Source organism: Homo sapiens, chromosome 5 (genome assembly GCF_000001405.40).
Source record: "Homo sapiens chromosome 5, GRCh38.p14 Primary Assembly".
Lineage (NCBI taxonomy): Eukaryota > Metazoa > Chordata > Mammalia > Primates > Hominidae > Homo > Homo sapiens.
Window position 1 is genome coordinate 12,708,306 of NC_000005.10, and position 14,007 is coordinate 12,722,312.

The 14,007-nt window shown below is 36.3% G+C and overlaps 1 long non-coding RNA gene across 1 annotated transcript in view; it reads left to right on the forward strand.

Annotated features, from left to right (window-relative positions):
• The window catches only part of LINC01194 (long intergenic non-protein coding RNA 1194), a 230,327-nt gene that overhangs the window by 133,449 nt on the left and 82,871 nt on the right, over positions 1-14,007 (forward strand). The window contains exon 3 of the long non-coding RNA NR_033383.1: positions 2,893-2,994. This is a non-coding gene — a long non-coding RNA (long intergenic non-protein coding RNA 1194). The remainder of the gene's footprint in view (positions 1-2,892; positions 2,995-14,007) is intronic.

A 14,007-nucleotide genomic window follows, 5' to 3' on the forward strand; every position in this document is an offset into this window, starting at 1 on the left:
GCTACAGGAATTTTTATGTTTTGCTCATCACTCCAAGTACAGTGACTGGAATAGCATCTGGTACATCAGAGATAACGTTGAGTAAACTTGTGGAGGGATGAATCAATTAATGAATGGCAAGACCCCACTGTAATCGTAATAACATTAGGGGATATCTACTTCTCATTTCATATATTTCCAAGAATCTGTTTAGAAGTAAACAGATTCTGTTTAGAAGTAAAAATTCTAAACAGATTCTTGGAAATACATGAAATGAGAAGTAGATATCCCCTAATGTTATTACGATTACAGTGGGTTCTTCTCATTCATTAATTGATTCATTCCTCCACGCCAGGCACGGTGGCTCATGCCTGTAATCCCAGCACTTTGGGAGGCAGAGGCGGGCGGATCACGAGGTCAGGAGATCGAGACCATCCTGGCTAACACGGTGAAACCCAGTCTCTACTAAAAATACAAAAAATTAGCCAGGCGTGGTGGCAGGTGCCTGTAGTCCCAGCTACTCGGGAAGCTGAGGCAGGAGAATCGCTTGAATCGGGAGGCGAATGTTGCAGTGAGCCGAGATCACGCCACTGCACTCCAGCCTGGGCGACAGAGCGAGACTCCATCTTTTTAAAAAAAAAAAAAAAAAAAAAAAGAACTTTTAGCAATAGTTGTTCTCAGTTTTGAACTTTCATGATAATGTAGAATTATTTTCTAAGAAGAATGTTTTAATCATTGTAATTCATATCTATAGTCTGCAAAATTTTCAACTAACCCTTGTGAGCTCAAAATATCTGAGACAGGTCTTAAAGATGTACCCGTGACAGTCCTGATGGCATGTGCCCAAGGCAGTCAGGGTACAGCTTGCTTTTATACATTTTGGGGAGACATAATGCATCAATCAATACATGTAACATTTACATTGGTTTGATCTGGAAGAGAGAAGGAGGATGGCTTCCAGGTCATAGGTACATTTAAACGTTTTCTGATTAGCAACTGGTTGAAAGAGTTATTATCAGTAGAAAGAAATATCTGGGTTCAGGAGATTGAGACCATCCTGGCCAACATGGTGAAACTCTGTCTCTACTAAAATACAAAAAATTAGCTGGGTGTGGTGGCACAAGCCTGTAGTCCCAGCTACTCAGGAGGCTGAAACAGGGAAATCCCTTGAACCCGGGAGGCGGAGGTTGCAGTGAGCCGAGATCGTGCAACTGCACTCCAGCCTGGTGACAAAGCAAGACTCCATCTCAAAAAAAAAAAGTCTGGGTTATAATGAGGTGTTGGGGGCACTTAGGTTTTGCCATGCAGATGAAGCCCCCACTAGCAGGCTTTAGAGAGAAAAGACTGTCATGTTTCTTATCAGACTTAAGGTCTGTGTTGATGTTAATGCTGTCTGGGTGTAATGAGGCATGTCTGACCCTCACTTCCTGACATGACCTGAACCAGTCTTTCAGGTTAAATTTTAGAGTACCCTGGCTGAGGTCCATTCAGATGGCTGCAGGGGGCTTTCGGTTTTTATTTTTGGTTTTCACCTTACATGAAGCATAGAATTTGATGTATTTAGGGATGGTATGTTACAGATATGTTACTAATATTACTGATTTTTCTGGGTTTTATGAAACCATGATGACCAGTTGCTGCCATTTTAAAAGCCTAGGAAAGTGACCATAATTCAGAGAGTTTCCAATTTATGTTATCTCCAAATTTTGCTGATATATTGTTGGTTATACATAGGCAAAGTTAAAACATTCGTTCAGAAATAACCATTGTCATTATTTATTGAGTGTTTGTTCACTGAATAGTCTGACATTTTCCTTCATAGAAAAGTAGTGATTTGCCATCTTGCTCAAGCATAACTTTGCTTTGTGATTTTGTGACAATTTAGCTTAAAAGTTACTGAGTTTTAATTAGGCTAATAGCTTAAAATTATTGTTTTGATTACTATATAAATTTATTCAAAACTACTATAGTATCCTGATTAAAAAGAAGAGATTCTGATTGAAAAGATTGGAAAAGAAAGTCAAATATCAAAACTTTTTGTAATTTTAATTGTTTTTAGTTTTTGTAGGTACTGATTAAATACCAAAACTTGTAGCACCAATACTCATATTTAAATTTACATTTATGCATGTAATACAGTCTAATTTCTTGCCTAGTCCAGGTTCCTAAGTTGATTCTTGGTAATGAAGTCAACTTTTTCTAGGTATACTCTCTAATGGAAATCATTAAATACCCTTAATAGGAGTGTATGTATATGTGTGTGTGTGTGTGTGTGTGTGTGTGCCCATGCATGTGTGTGTACATGTATTTCATGTGAATGATTTTTCAAAATGTGCAATCAGATTTTATTAATAAGCACTTCATATTAAAACAATGTATTTTGATAAAACAATGCATTTAATCATGAATAAAAGTGTTCTTTCTACACCTTTAATACATGACTGCACATACTAACATTTGCTTCCTAATTTTTATAATATTTGAAACCAGAAAGGGTTACCATTTTTAAGAAAATGAAAACTGTAACCCTCAATTGTCTCTTAATATTTATGTATAGCTTCAAATTAAGAAACTGAGGATTTTCGTCATGCTTTCATGGATTTTGGAAGCTGGTCATTCTTGCTCAGTTTGCCCTTTGATAGTTAGTAGAACTGCAAATTTAAGTAAGTCATTTGCATTTATGTATATTGAGGTTTTCCATTATAAAAAGGGCATAATTGTAAAAAGTGAAAAAATGTATATCAAGAACTTGGCAAAGTATGTGGTAAAAATAAACACACAATAAATAGTGACAACAGTTATTTTTGAGTGAATGTTTTAACTTCTAGTTGGAGGGTGTTTATCAATTGTATATTCTTTTTTTTTTTTTTTGCATTTTACACCTGTGTGACTTTTATTTTATTTTATTTTTAGTTCCAGGATACATGTGCAGGATGTGCAAGTTTGCTACATGGGTAAATATGTGCCATGGCAGTTTGCTGCATCTATTAACCCATTACCTAGGTATTAAGCCCGGTAAGCATTTTTTTTTTCCTGATGCTCTCCCTCCCCATCCCCACCACTGACAGACCCCAGTGTGTGTTGTTCCCCTCTCTGTATCCACGTATTCTCATTGTTCAGCTCCCACCTATAAGTGAGAACATGTGGTGTTTGGTTTTCTGTTCCTGTGTTAGTTTGCTGAGGATAATGGCTTCCAGCTCCATCTATGTCCCTGCAAAAGTTGAAGTGTGCAATAAGACCATACATTGTGCTGTGAAATATATTTTATATTTTTAAATACTTTAATATATGCATTGTTTTATATAGTTTCAAATTATCTAAATGCATTCCTTGTTTGATTTGCCAATAATTGAGAACAAGCAAATGAGGCAAATTAATATCTTTTGAAGTTGAGTGAAGTAATAGAACTCCATAGAGACTTAATTCTAATATGACTATAAAAATATATTTTACTAAGAATTATTTAGTTTTCTTACAATGATGTAAAGAAGAAAAACAATTAAGTTTGATCTAAAAACAACCATTAGTGCTCCAAACCCAAAATAGTAGTAAAAATAACAGTTATTATTGTATTGTTATTATAAAAGAAATATCAAATTCAGGATGCACTCAAATTCGATAAAGTAGAGCCCCCTATTTATATGTTCTAGAGAAGAGTAAAATGTTATTAAACTCAATGGAGCATTTCTGAAAGGTGTAGACTAACAACTATCAACCAGATAAAATTTTGCTTGCCACAGGGCATTTGGAAATATCTAAAGACTTTTTCGATTGTCAACTAAGAGTGGGAGTTCTACTGTGATCTAGCAGATGGAGTCCAGGGCTGTTGCTCAGCATCCTACAATTACAGGATAACCTCTCACAACAAAGAATTATTCTACAAAATTTAATACTGTCAAGGTTCCTGATGTATAGAAACTTGAAAAGAACATGAAATTTTAAAAAAGAAACCTGTTGAACTGCTATGAGAAGGACATAGCCAGTGCTACTCAAGACCTGAAATATCCAAAAGCCAAAGCAAGCCAATGTTGTAGGCAGTGCATGGGAGAAGTTGCTGTTGTTGATGTTCCTCTTGTCCTTTTTACACACGATCTTTGAAAGCATCCATAGCATCCTCAGGTCTGGCATTTTCTAAATGGCGAGACTCCTGAAAGAGAGGACACTTTCCCAATAGAGCAGGTTTCATAGGTTAAGCGAATTCTGAACCCTGCTGTGGCCTAAAGTGAAAATGCCTGATTAGAAGAGTGTGTCACAGCCATGCTTAATCTCACTAGATCATCCCAGTGTGAGCATTCCATGGTTGATAGAAAAGATGACAATTAAGATGATGAAATATATAAAATAGGAATGAAAAGGGATTATTTTGAGATATCTCAGACACTAACTCAAAGTTTAGAGTGCAAATAGTTTATGTGGAAGTTAATCCCAGGATTCACTAGAAGGAAAATCGATAAAGTGTGACTACAAAGCCAGTAACCGCAGAACACCTGAAGCTAAATTCTTCTACAGAACACTATCCCACAAGTAAGAGCATATGCCATAGAGCTATCTCTAAATAGAGAATCAAGGCACTGAAGTTTTGGTATATGAATACTCATAAGTCAATGGATGAGGGCTGCTCTATTGGGAATATTTTGCTGTACAGGGGGAAATCTTCCTATAGTCACTTTGCCTTATTGATCCTTGTTTCCTTTGGAATCATGCTGGAAGGTAACCACTGGTATGTTGCAGCTGGCCTGTATGGCTGTGAGGGAGGGCTAACTGTGCATCTCTTCCCAGTTCAGTGGTCAGGGGCATCATATAGGTGGCTTCAAATAAATCCTAAAGAATTTGCACCAAGGAAAACAAGGTAAGAAAATCAGATATTGGAAAATTTTTTGCGATGTCTTTTTCTCAGTGAGTTGGTTGTTAGACCTTTATCAGCACAGCACAGCTCCCACTTCCACAGTCTTTCCTATAGACAGCCAAATTCACTGCCTGGAGAAAAGGCACAGCCTGGTCAGCATACATTTGCTAGATCCATTCTCGGTTGCCTCTGACTATTTTTTCTTTAAACACTATATTTACTGTATAGCAGTCTTATAATACAATACATGAACCAATATTGTACAATATTTTATATTGAACCAGAATGAACCAATAATACAATAAATGAACCAATTAATGAGACAATATTGCTGTCAAACAGCACCTTTTACCATGCATATCAAATCTAATAAATTTCCCTTATGGAATATCAGAAAGAAATTAATTGTTGATCTTTCTTTGTATCAGCTGTTTAATAATTCATCACAATAATAAAATTACAAGTTAATGCTTCAGTATACCATGAAGGAGAAAATACTAATCAGGAAATACCATTATCTTTTCCAGAATATTATAAAAACAGTTCTAACATTTTTTAACTGTCATGTTTAGGTGAAATAAAGCTTAAGTAGAAGAAATAATCTATTGGTATGTAACATAACTGAGTTTGAAAATCGTTCACCTTTAATAAGCAATAAGAGCCCTGTGGTGTCTTCTTTAATTCCTTTAAATAATTTATCATTTGAATCTCCCCTGCCTGGAAGTTATATAGGGTAAGTTACTACATATTTTTTTCTTCATCATGCCCTTTAGCTTATAACTACATCAAAGATAGTTCTGAGCTGCTCCGAAAAAATGCCTCCTCTTCAACATGCATGCCGTTATTTTAAAAGATGTTATGAAACAACATGGCTTATTTGAAAAGACCACAGGATTTATTTTAAGATGTCAAAATAGCACATTCAACATTGGCTTTGATTTTTATTTCTTTATTTAACATGGTTTTGATATAGTAAGCATATTAATTTGGTCCACTTAAAAATTTATAAGTGTTTTTCTATGCAAAGCAATGAAATAATCAGAAAACTGAATATCAAAGTATGGTTGAAAATGCCTGTGACAGCCAAACCTCAGTCTCACAAGTATTCATGAGTATTATTAATACTCTTCAATTTGTGATATATAAAAATGAGATCTTTAGTGAATGAGAAAATTTTCATTTTGGTTTTAGTGTTTCACTTAACATTGATTAAAAAGTAAATAAAATATTTCATAGGCCAAGTGCAGATCTTAAATGGGAGTATAAATCAACTATCATTCTAGATGTTATATTACTATTTCATTGTCCTTACCCAATTCATTATGCCTTTTCATCAAAGCTTAAATAAAATTAAACTGACACTTTCAGTTGAATAATGTGGCATAGAAGTTGAACGTTAGAATGATTTCTTTTAACATTTTCCCTCTTGTCATTTATTTTAACTACTGGCATTTCCCCAATCCAACTCTCTTGAAAATTTCCAGTGAATGCCCATGTTTGTGATTAAGTTAATTTACTTAGTAGGCAGAAATTCTTCCTAGAAGATAAGCAGAGAATATAACAAAATCAAGAAAAATAATTTATGTATTAATAATCTGATACCTTACAAATGTTGTGATAAATGTGCACATTTTTATAATCCTTAATTGTAGTTTATGTTTGAACACTCCAAAATATCAACCACTGTAACACTGCAAAGTATTAGGCACTGAAATGAGATAAGGAATTTTTCACTAAAATTGTATTTAATTTAAATACATATAACTTAACAAACTTTATATTTAAAAGTAACATTTTTATCTTGTAAAATTTGTCTTCAAATATTATTTTCTTTAAATATATGATCAGTAATTTAGAAAGCATTTTCATATAATGATATGTCTTTATTTACAGATATTAAAATAGTTGATGACCAATAACATTACAAAATTATCTTTTGCTATCCAAATTTTCATTATCACCATATTTGCTTTTTCTCTGAGGATATGCAAAAAAGTATGCAAAATTCATTGTCTGAAAAATTCATCCTAACTAATTTTCAAGTGAATATGAATGAAAATGTTTAGTTTTGTTCGAGTTCGAGAAACTATAGGAGATAGTGTGTCATATCCCAACTGTGTGTATGAGAGGAGCACCTCTTGTGCTCAGTAAATGTTGCTTAAATGTGTTTGTTGTCCCTCTTATCTTCCCTTTTCTTACTATGACCTTGTTTCTGGGTCCTCAAGTTTACTCTACTAGGCATTTGGAACACAACCACTCTAAAAATTTTAGATTCTGAATTCTATGATAAGTGAGGAAAGTTGATGGGCCTCCCTCCAAGCCTAATCCTCCTCGTGAGAGTAAGCTTGGATGCACGTTTCATCCACTCTCCCAAGAGACTGCACTCTATATTTAATTCAATTTAATATGAATGGTTATGTTGTGGCAAATTTGTTTAAAAATTACTTTAGTAAAATAAGCAATAAGCAACAATTATCACTTGCTGACACATGCATCATCTCTGTGAATAGAATAGAAGGAGAATAATTTAATAAGCCATACATTAATTGGATAAACTGCTAACGGATCATGAGAATATAATCTTAAATTGGCGTGAATATTATACTATGTTCTCTATTCCTCCAGAAATACCAACTTGTTAATATGAATTCTTGATCAAATGCCTATATGACTATACTAAAATGAAAAATCCCACTTAACTTTCAAAGTTATCTATTTGATTTATCTATAAGAAGTCTGGTTGAGGGACAAAAAAAACTAACACTGTATTATTCTTGCAGTACTTCTTTTACTTTTACTTCTGTGTTATGTTTCACAAGCTCTCAACTGGTCTAGTGGTTTGTACTGTATCAACTTAGCCAAGCTTCAAGATTATACCGTTTAGTTAAACAGCAGGTAGTCAATATGCCAAAACTTTAGGTATGTACAAGAACAAATTAAGGTGTACCATGAACTATCTATTAAAAGAGAGAGAGAGAGCGATTGTTCAGTAAATGGTTTTCCTGTATATTTTTCTAGCTATGATATATTTCTGATTCATTAGGGATAAACCAACTTTTCTGGAGTTGCATACTGTTACCAAAACACCAGGGGTTTGATCTGGGTCCTGCTGTTCACTGCACAGAAACCCAATGACTGAGATGATGAGTGTTGCCAGAGAAGAAGGCTTTAATTGAGTGCTATAGCCAAGGGGGGAGCTCAGTCTCAAATCCATCTCCCTGACTGACTAAAGCTAGGGGTTTATATAGTAGGGAAGAAATGTAACAATATGTAAGAAACCAGGAGCTAGGGAGGGGCAAACAAATCATGATGAATGAGTGGTCTGGCATCTCATTTTCTGGATACGGTGATCTGTTGAGTTTCAGCCTTTGCTAGTATTTTTGAGCGGCCTAAAGGAAAGAACTATGTTAAAACAAACATAAATTTCAAGCTTTAAGACCAGAAGGGTTAATTTATATGTTTATTTAAAAAAAGAAAAACTATCTATGGGACTAGTGGGTTGGTTTCAGTACTAAGCTTCAAGACACCCATTTGCATATAGAAATACACATATGTGCATACATGTATTTCTATACATATATTCATTTATAAGTCTATATGTCAACTTTTTAAATGAATTATCCAATAAAATAATTTAATGAGCATTATTGATGGCAGTGGCAGCCCATCTGGAGCAGCTGCTGCCATGATGCCTCCTGCAGTGGGAGAGGTGTGGCCAGGGCCGAACGCTCCACAGAGCCAGCGGGAGCTGGGAACAGTTGGAAGCCCTGCTCCCTTCTGAGTCGGTAGGGTGGGAACTTCATGCTACATGGCCACAGCTGTGGTTGCCCAGCGATGGCTTTGGACCCAGGCATCCCTGTTCTCTTGTGGGATGAGAGCAGGCAGGAGCCCTGTGCTCCTGGGCACTGCTGCAGCTGTGGGCCTGGGAGTCTCTTTGCTCTCAGGAGCCAGGGATACCCCTACAGGCTTACAACTGCCTGCTCCTGCTGCCTGGCCTCTCTTTACTCTCAGTGCTCAGTTTGATCTTGGAGAAAAGTTGAGGCCGAGCCTAGGCACTGTTGCAACCCACCCAAGTATGTGCACTCAGGGCAGTGCTGACAAGAGAGCCCCCTCCTGACTTGGTACCCTCCAGAATTTGGGTCCTAATGAACATGGGAAGGAGGCCAATGAGGGAGCTGTAGGCAGTTGGGTGCTGGCCTACAGGCACCCCTCAGCACAAACAACCTGGGTGCCATGGATGAAGGTAGGAGGCAGACAGGCTCCTGGGTGGAAAGTGGCAGGTCCCTGGTGAAGTCACACTCAGGCCAGATACCACCTGAAGCCTGGAGGATGGGCTGATTAACCAGAATAGGAACTTACGGTGCTTTTTCTAGGCCCACCCATGAACCAATCAGCATGCACATCCATCCCTCTGAAGCCCATAAAAACCTTAGACTCAGCCAGACTTGAGGAGATGATGGGACAGCCAGCTGCAGAGTGGACCTACCCAATACAGGGTCTCCTCTCTGCTAAGAGTTGAACACTCATTGGGACACCCTGGCTGCTGAGAGGAGCTACCCACTGTGAGTCTCCTCTGAGCAGTTCTATTGCTTGATAAAGCTCCTCTTCATCTTGCTCACCCTCCACTTGTCCACCCACTTCATTCTTCCTGGAAGTGGGACAAGAAATGGGGACCCACCACATGGTGGAGCTGAAAGAGCTGTAACACAAACAAAGTTCAAACAAGCTTCTTGCTCACCACATTGCCAGAGACAAGGAGAGAAGAGAGAAGGAGAGAAGTGCTGTGGCCCTTTTGGGATCCCAGACCTAGGAGCTTCCCAGACAGGGCTATGATACCCTCTTTGGGGCTTGGCAGTTCCTGGCATCTCCAAGCTTCTGGGTACCACCGCATTCCCTAGTGCTAGCTGTGGAAGCTGTTTGAGGTATGCCTGGTCCAGCTAGTCTTGAAGGGAGCTCACACCTATGCTAGCACCTGGAGCTGACCAACCCACTGCAGCCAAAATGCCTGGCTGTGTGTGGTGGCTGGACCTCATGCTCACTCACACACACCACTCTCTGCTTGTCTCACCTTTGGTGGCATGGGATCCAGGGTGGCAGTGTGAGCTGAATGCGGCCTACCAGGCTGAGTGAGTCCAGCAGGCCCAAGCAAAACTCAGGCAAAGGTGCCACACTGTCCACAGAGGCTTCCTACTGGTGAAGTGACATCTCAAGGATCCTGTAACATTATATTTATAAGACTTTTCTCAAAATATTAACAGTATTTCAAATAATATTATTTAAATATATGCCTAACCATTTAAAAATACCATTTAATCTAACCTCTTAATGGCGAGAGCCCGGGAGGCAGAGCTTGCAGTGAGCTGAGATCATGCCACTGCCCTCCAGCCTGGGTGACAGAGCGAGACTCTGTCTCAAAAAAAAAAAAAAGAAAAAATTCTGAATGCAGAGGTTATGATTACCCATTTTATAGATATTTATAAATATTTACAGATATTTAACAAATTGAAAGATTTATTCAAAGTACAGCTCAGTGGTGTGCCAAGGTCTATCTCTAATATGATTTTCATTGATTTTTCACTTGAATTATAGCTTAAATAAATACTCTTTCTTTTCAATGCCTAGAATTAAATAAAATCTATCTAGAGATTACGTATATGTATATATAATTGTAAAACAATATTATACATAATTCCATATAAATATATGTAAATATATTTATACAATGTATGTATAGATAGCATTCAGCCACAGTATCATTTAAAAGCCTTCTGTATTCTGCTCTACAAATTAATTTATTCTTTTAAATCTTATGTTATTTAAATGAATCCTAAGGACCAACCTAGACCTCAGATTTTTAAGGATACATCTTTATCTTCACCAGTTCTAATAGTTCCTCAGCTGTAGTCAAAATGATGATCTTTCCTATATAGAAGATTTTAAATAGATATTAAATTCTTCACCCCCTACTCTCAACATTATTGGTTTCTAAATTAAGTCAGTGCTACTTGTGTACTTCACGCAGGACAGCATTATTTGGTTATCAGTCATTCATACCCTTATTGCTTGGAGAAAACAAAAAACAATAAATAAAACCACAGTTTTGAGGGTGATAAGAATATCCCATGCTTCTTTCCCAGATACTCGGTTTCTAAGCATGGTTTGCAAACGGATATGGCCATGAAACCTGGTTATCACCTTTAAAGTGAAATCTGGTGGGGTTACAATAAAGTTAAGATCAACCCAAAGAAAAACCCTTTTTGCTCACCCTTCACACTCTTTGAATTTAGGAATGAGATACGAAGTTGAATAAAGAGGCTGTATAATGAAACTCAAGGACAACACACAAAAAATGGCTAAAAAGAGCTATTGACTGATGAATTTGAGGGTATGCTATTTGACTCTCTGGCAGTAGGATAAATAAATCTGTTTCTTTAGCTACCATTAGTTGAACATTCTGGGGTTCACCATTGATATAATTCTAAAGTGCATAAACAAATATTATTACACCTGTATGTGTGTGATTGATGAAACCAGTGCTAATTAATATAGCATTGTAATTGTCCACTTAAGAGGAAAAAGTCAGTCAGACTGCTCATAACATATATTATACTCTTAAATATGAGAGAAGAGCTTGTAAATATATGGAAGAAATAAAGTATATGCCATTTTCAATCATAATTTTAAAGAAAACAAGTGTAGTAACACTGATATTTGAAGAAATAGACTTGAAAAAAATATTACTAGAAATAAGGAGAGGTATTTGATATTAAAAGTATAAATTCAAGAAAAAAGTATCACAGCATAAATGTGTATGCACTGAATAACATGGGCTAAAATATATAAAACAACTTAGTTATAAGATGAATAAGTTCTAGCGACCTAATCTACAGCATAATGACTATAGTTAATATATTGTACATTGAAATTTACTAAAAAAGTAATCTTAATTATTCTTAGTACATGCACACACAAAAGTAACTATGTGAGGTGATGGTTTATGTTAATTTAGCTTGATTGTGGTAATCATTTCATCATGTTTATATTTCAAAATATCTCATTATACACCTTAAATATATAAAATTTTAATTTGCCAATTATACATCAATAAAGCTAAAAATATGTAACAAACATTCAAGATAAAAGGAGTAATATGTAAATTTATTATCATATTTGGCAATTTTGACTCACCACTCTCAGTGACTGAGAGAGCACAATGGAAAGGCAATTAGAATACAGAAGATTTAAACAATAAGATTATTCACTGTAACTTAATTGATATTATAGGACATCACAAACAATAGAAATCAGTTCCAGTAAAATATGACATTACATCTTGGCCATTTAGGATTGTGCTTGTCAATGGATAATTAGGCACATATAAAATGATTTTGTGTTGTTTGGGGGTGGCTAATACTGATTATTAAAGAGTAATAATGTTGCTATTACAAAATAAATTTCTTCAGTCATACTTGTTGTTTTCCTAAGAAAATGTCTAGATCTTTGAGGAATTTCCTCCTAAGGATAGATTTGTAGAAGCATTTATTTTTTGCGTCCTACTACACAAGTTAGAGGGTGCACACACACTCATCTCTAGGACAGTGGAGATACCCTCTTAACTGCTGTGTGACATGGACTTGACCTATCTGTAAATTGACATTTTTTTTTCACACTCACAAAAGTTTCTCGTTAAAATTCAGTGAACGAAGTGCAACGTGGGTTGGATTCTGCATCAGAGAAAGGACACTAATTGAAAAACAGATAATATCTGAAAAAATGTATTTCCTTAATAAAATCAGTTGAGATGTTTATCTTTGGCTATTGGTTGTTTTAGCATATGCTATGGTATGAATGATTGTCCCCTCCAAAACTCATGTTGAAACTTAATGTGGCAGTGTTGAGAGGTGGAGCCTTTAAGAGATGATTGGGTCATGAGGGCTCTGCCATGATTGGATGAATGGGTTAATTCATTAATGGATTAATGGGTTATCACGGGAGTGGGACTGTTGACTTTATAGGAAGAGGAAGGAAATCTGAGCTAGCAGGCTCAGTGCCACCTTAGGACTCTGCAGAGAGTCTTTACCAAACGAGGGACCAGGTCCAGTCTCTTCACTGTGGACTTCGCCTCCAGAACTGTAAACAATTCCTTTTGTTTTTTGCAAATTATCCAGTTTTAGGTATTCTGTTATAAGAAACAAAAATGGACTAAGAATATAATCATATATGAACCTGTTTCATTTCTTCTAATAGATTGTGAGTCCTTGAAGGACAAATATCATAACATAAACATTTATATAATTAACTCACTGATTTTAAAACTTTTGAGTGTCTACCATATCCTTGCTACAAAGATTATGTATTGATAAACAAAACACATGCTGCATGTATTCCATAGTCTTTTGGGTGGGGATACGTATTAAGAAAACATAAATAAATACATTGTTAAAATATACAAAGAAGGATGATTACAAGTTTTATGAGAAAGAAAGTTATAGTACAATTGGGGCTCAAAGAGATACTGTCTGAGTAAATAAAATTTAATCAGAGATTTGAATATTAGTAATACTTTTCCAAGAAAACTTCAATTGAGAAGGTTATGAGAATGATGGAGATTTTTCTGAGAAAAAGAATAATATGCATAAAGTTTCAGATTTGAGAAAGATGTCATAACAAATAACTAAAGTAAAACCAAAGTGGTTAGAGAGCAGAGCTGAAGGAAGAGACTGATGTCAACTGAAGCAAGATAATTTAATAAGGGATACCTCAAAATGCAGGCTTTAGATTCTATCCTCAGAAACAAGGTGAAAGAGGTTGACAATACCAATTGCTTTATAACATTACTTATGATGCTTTTCTTGTAAATACATATGATAAACTAAGAAAAACAGAAGTGGCCGGGTGTGGTGGCTCACCCCTGTAATCCCAGTACTTTGGGAGGCCGAGGCAGGTGGATCACGAAGTCAGGAGATAGAGACCATCCTGGCTAACATGGTGAAACCCCGTCTCTACTAAAAATACAAAAAATTAGCAGGGCGTGGTGGCGGGCGCCTATAGTCCCAGCTACTAGGGAGGCTGAGATAGGAGAATGGCATGAACCCGGGAGGCAGAGTTTGCAGTGAGCCGAGATCGCACCACTGCACTCCAGCTTGGGTGACAGAGCGAGACTCTGTCTCAAAACAATAATA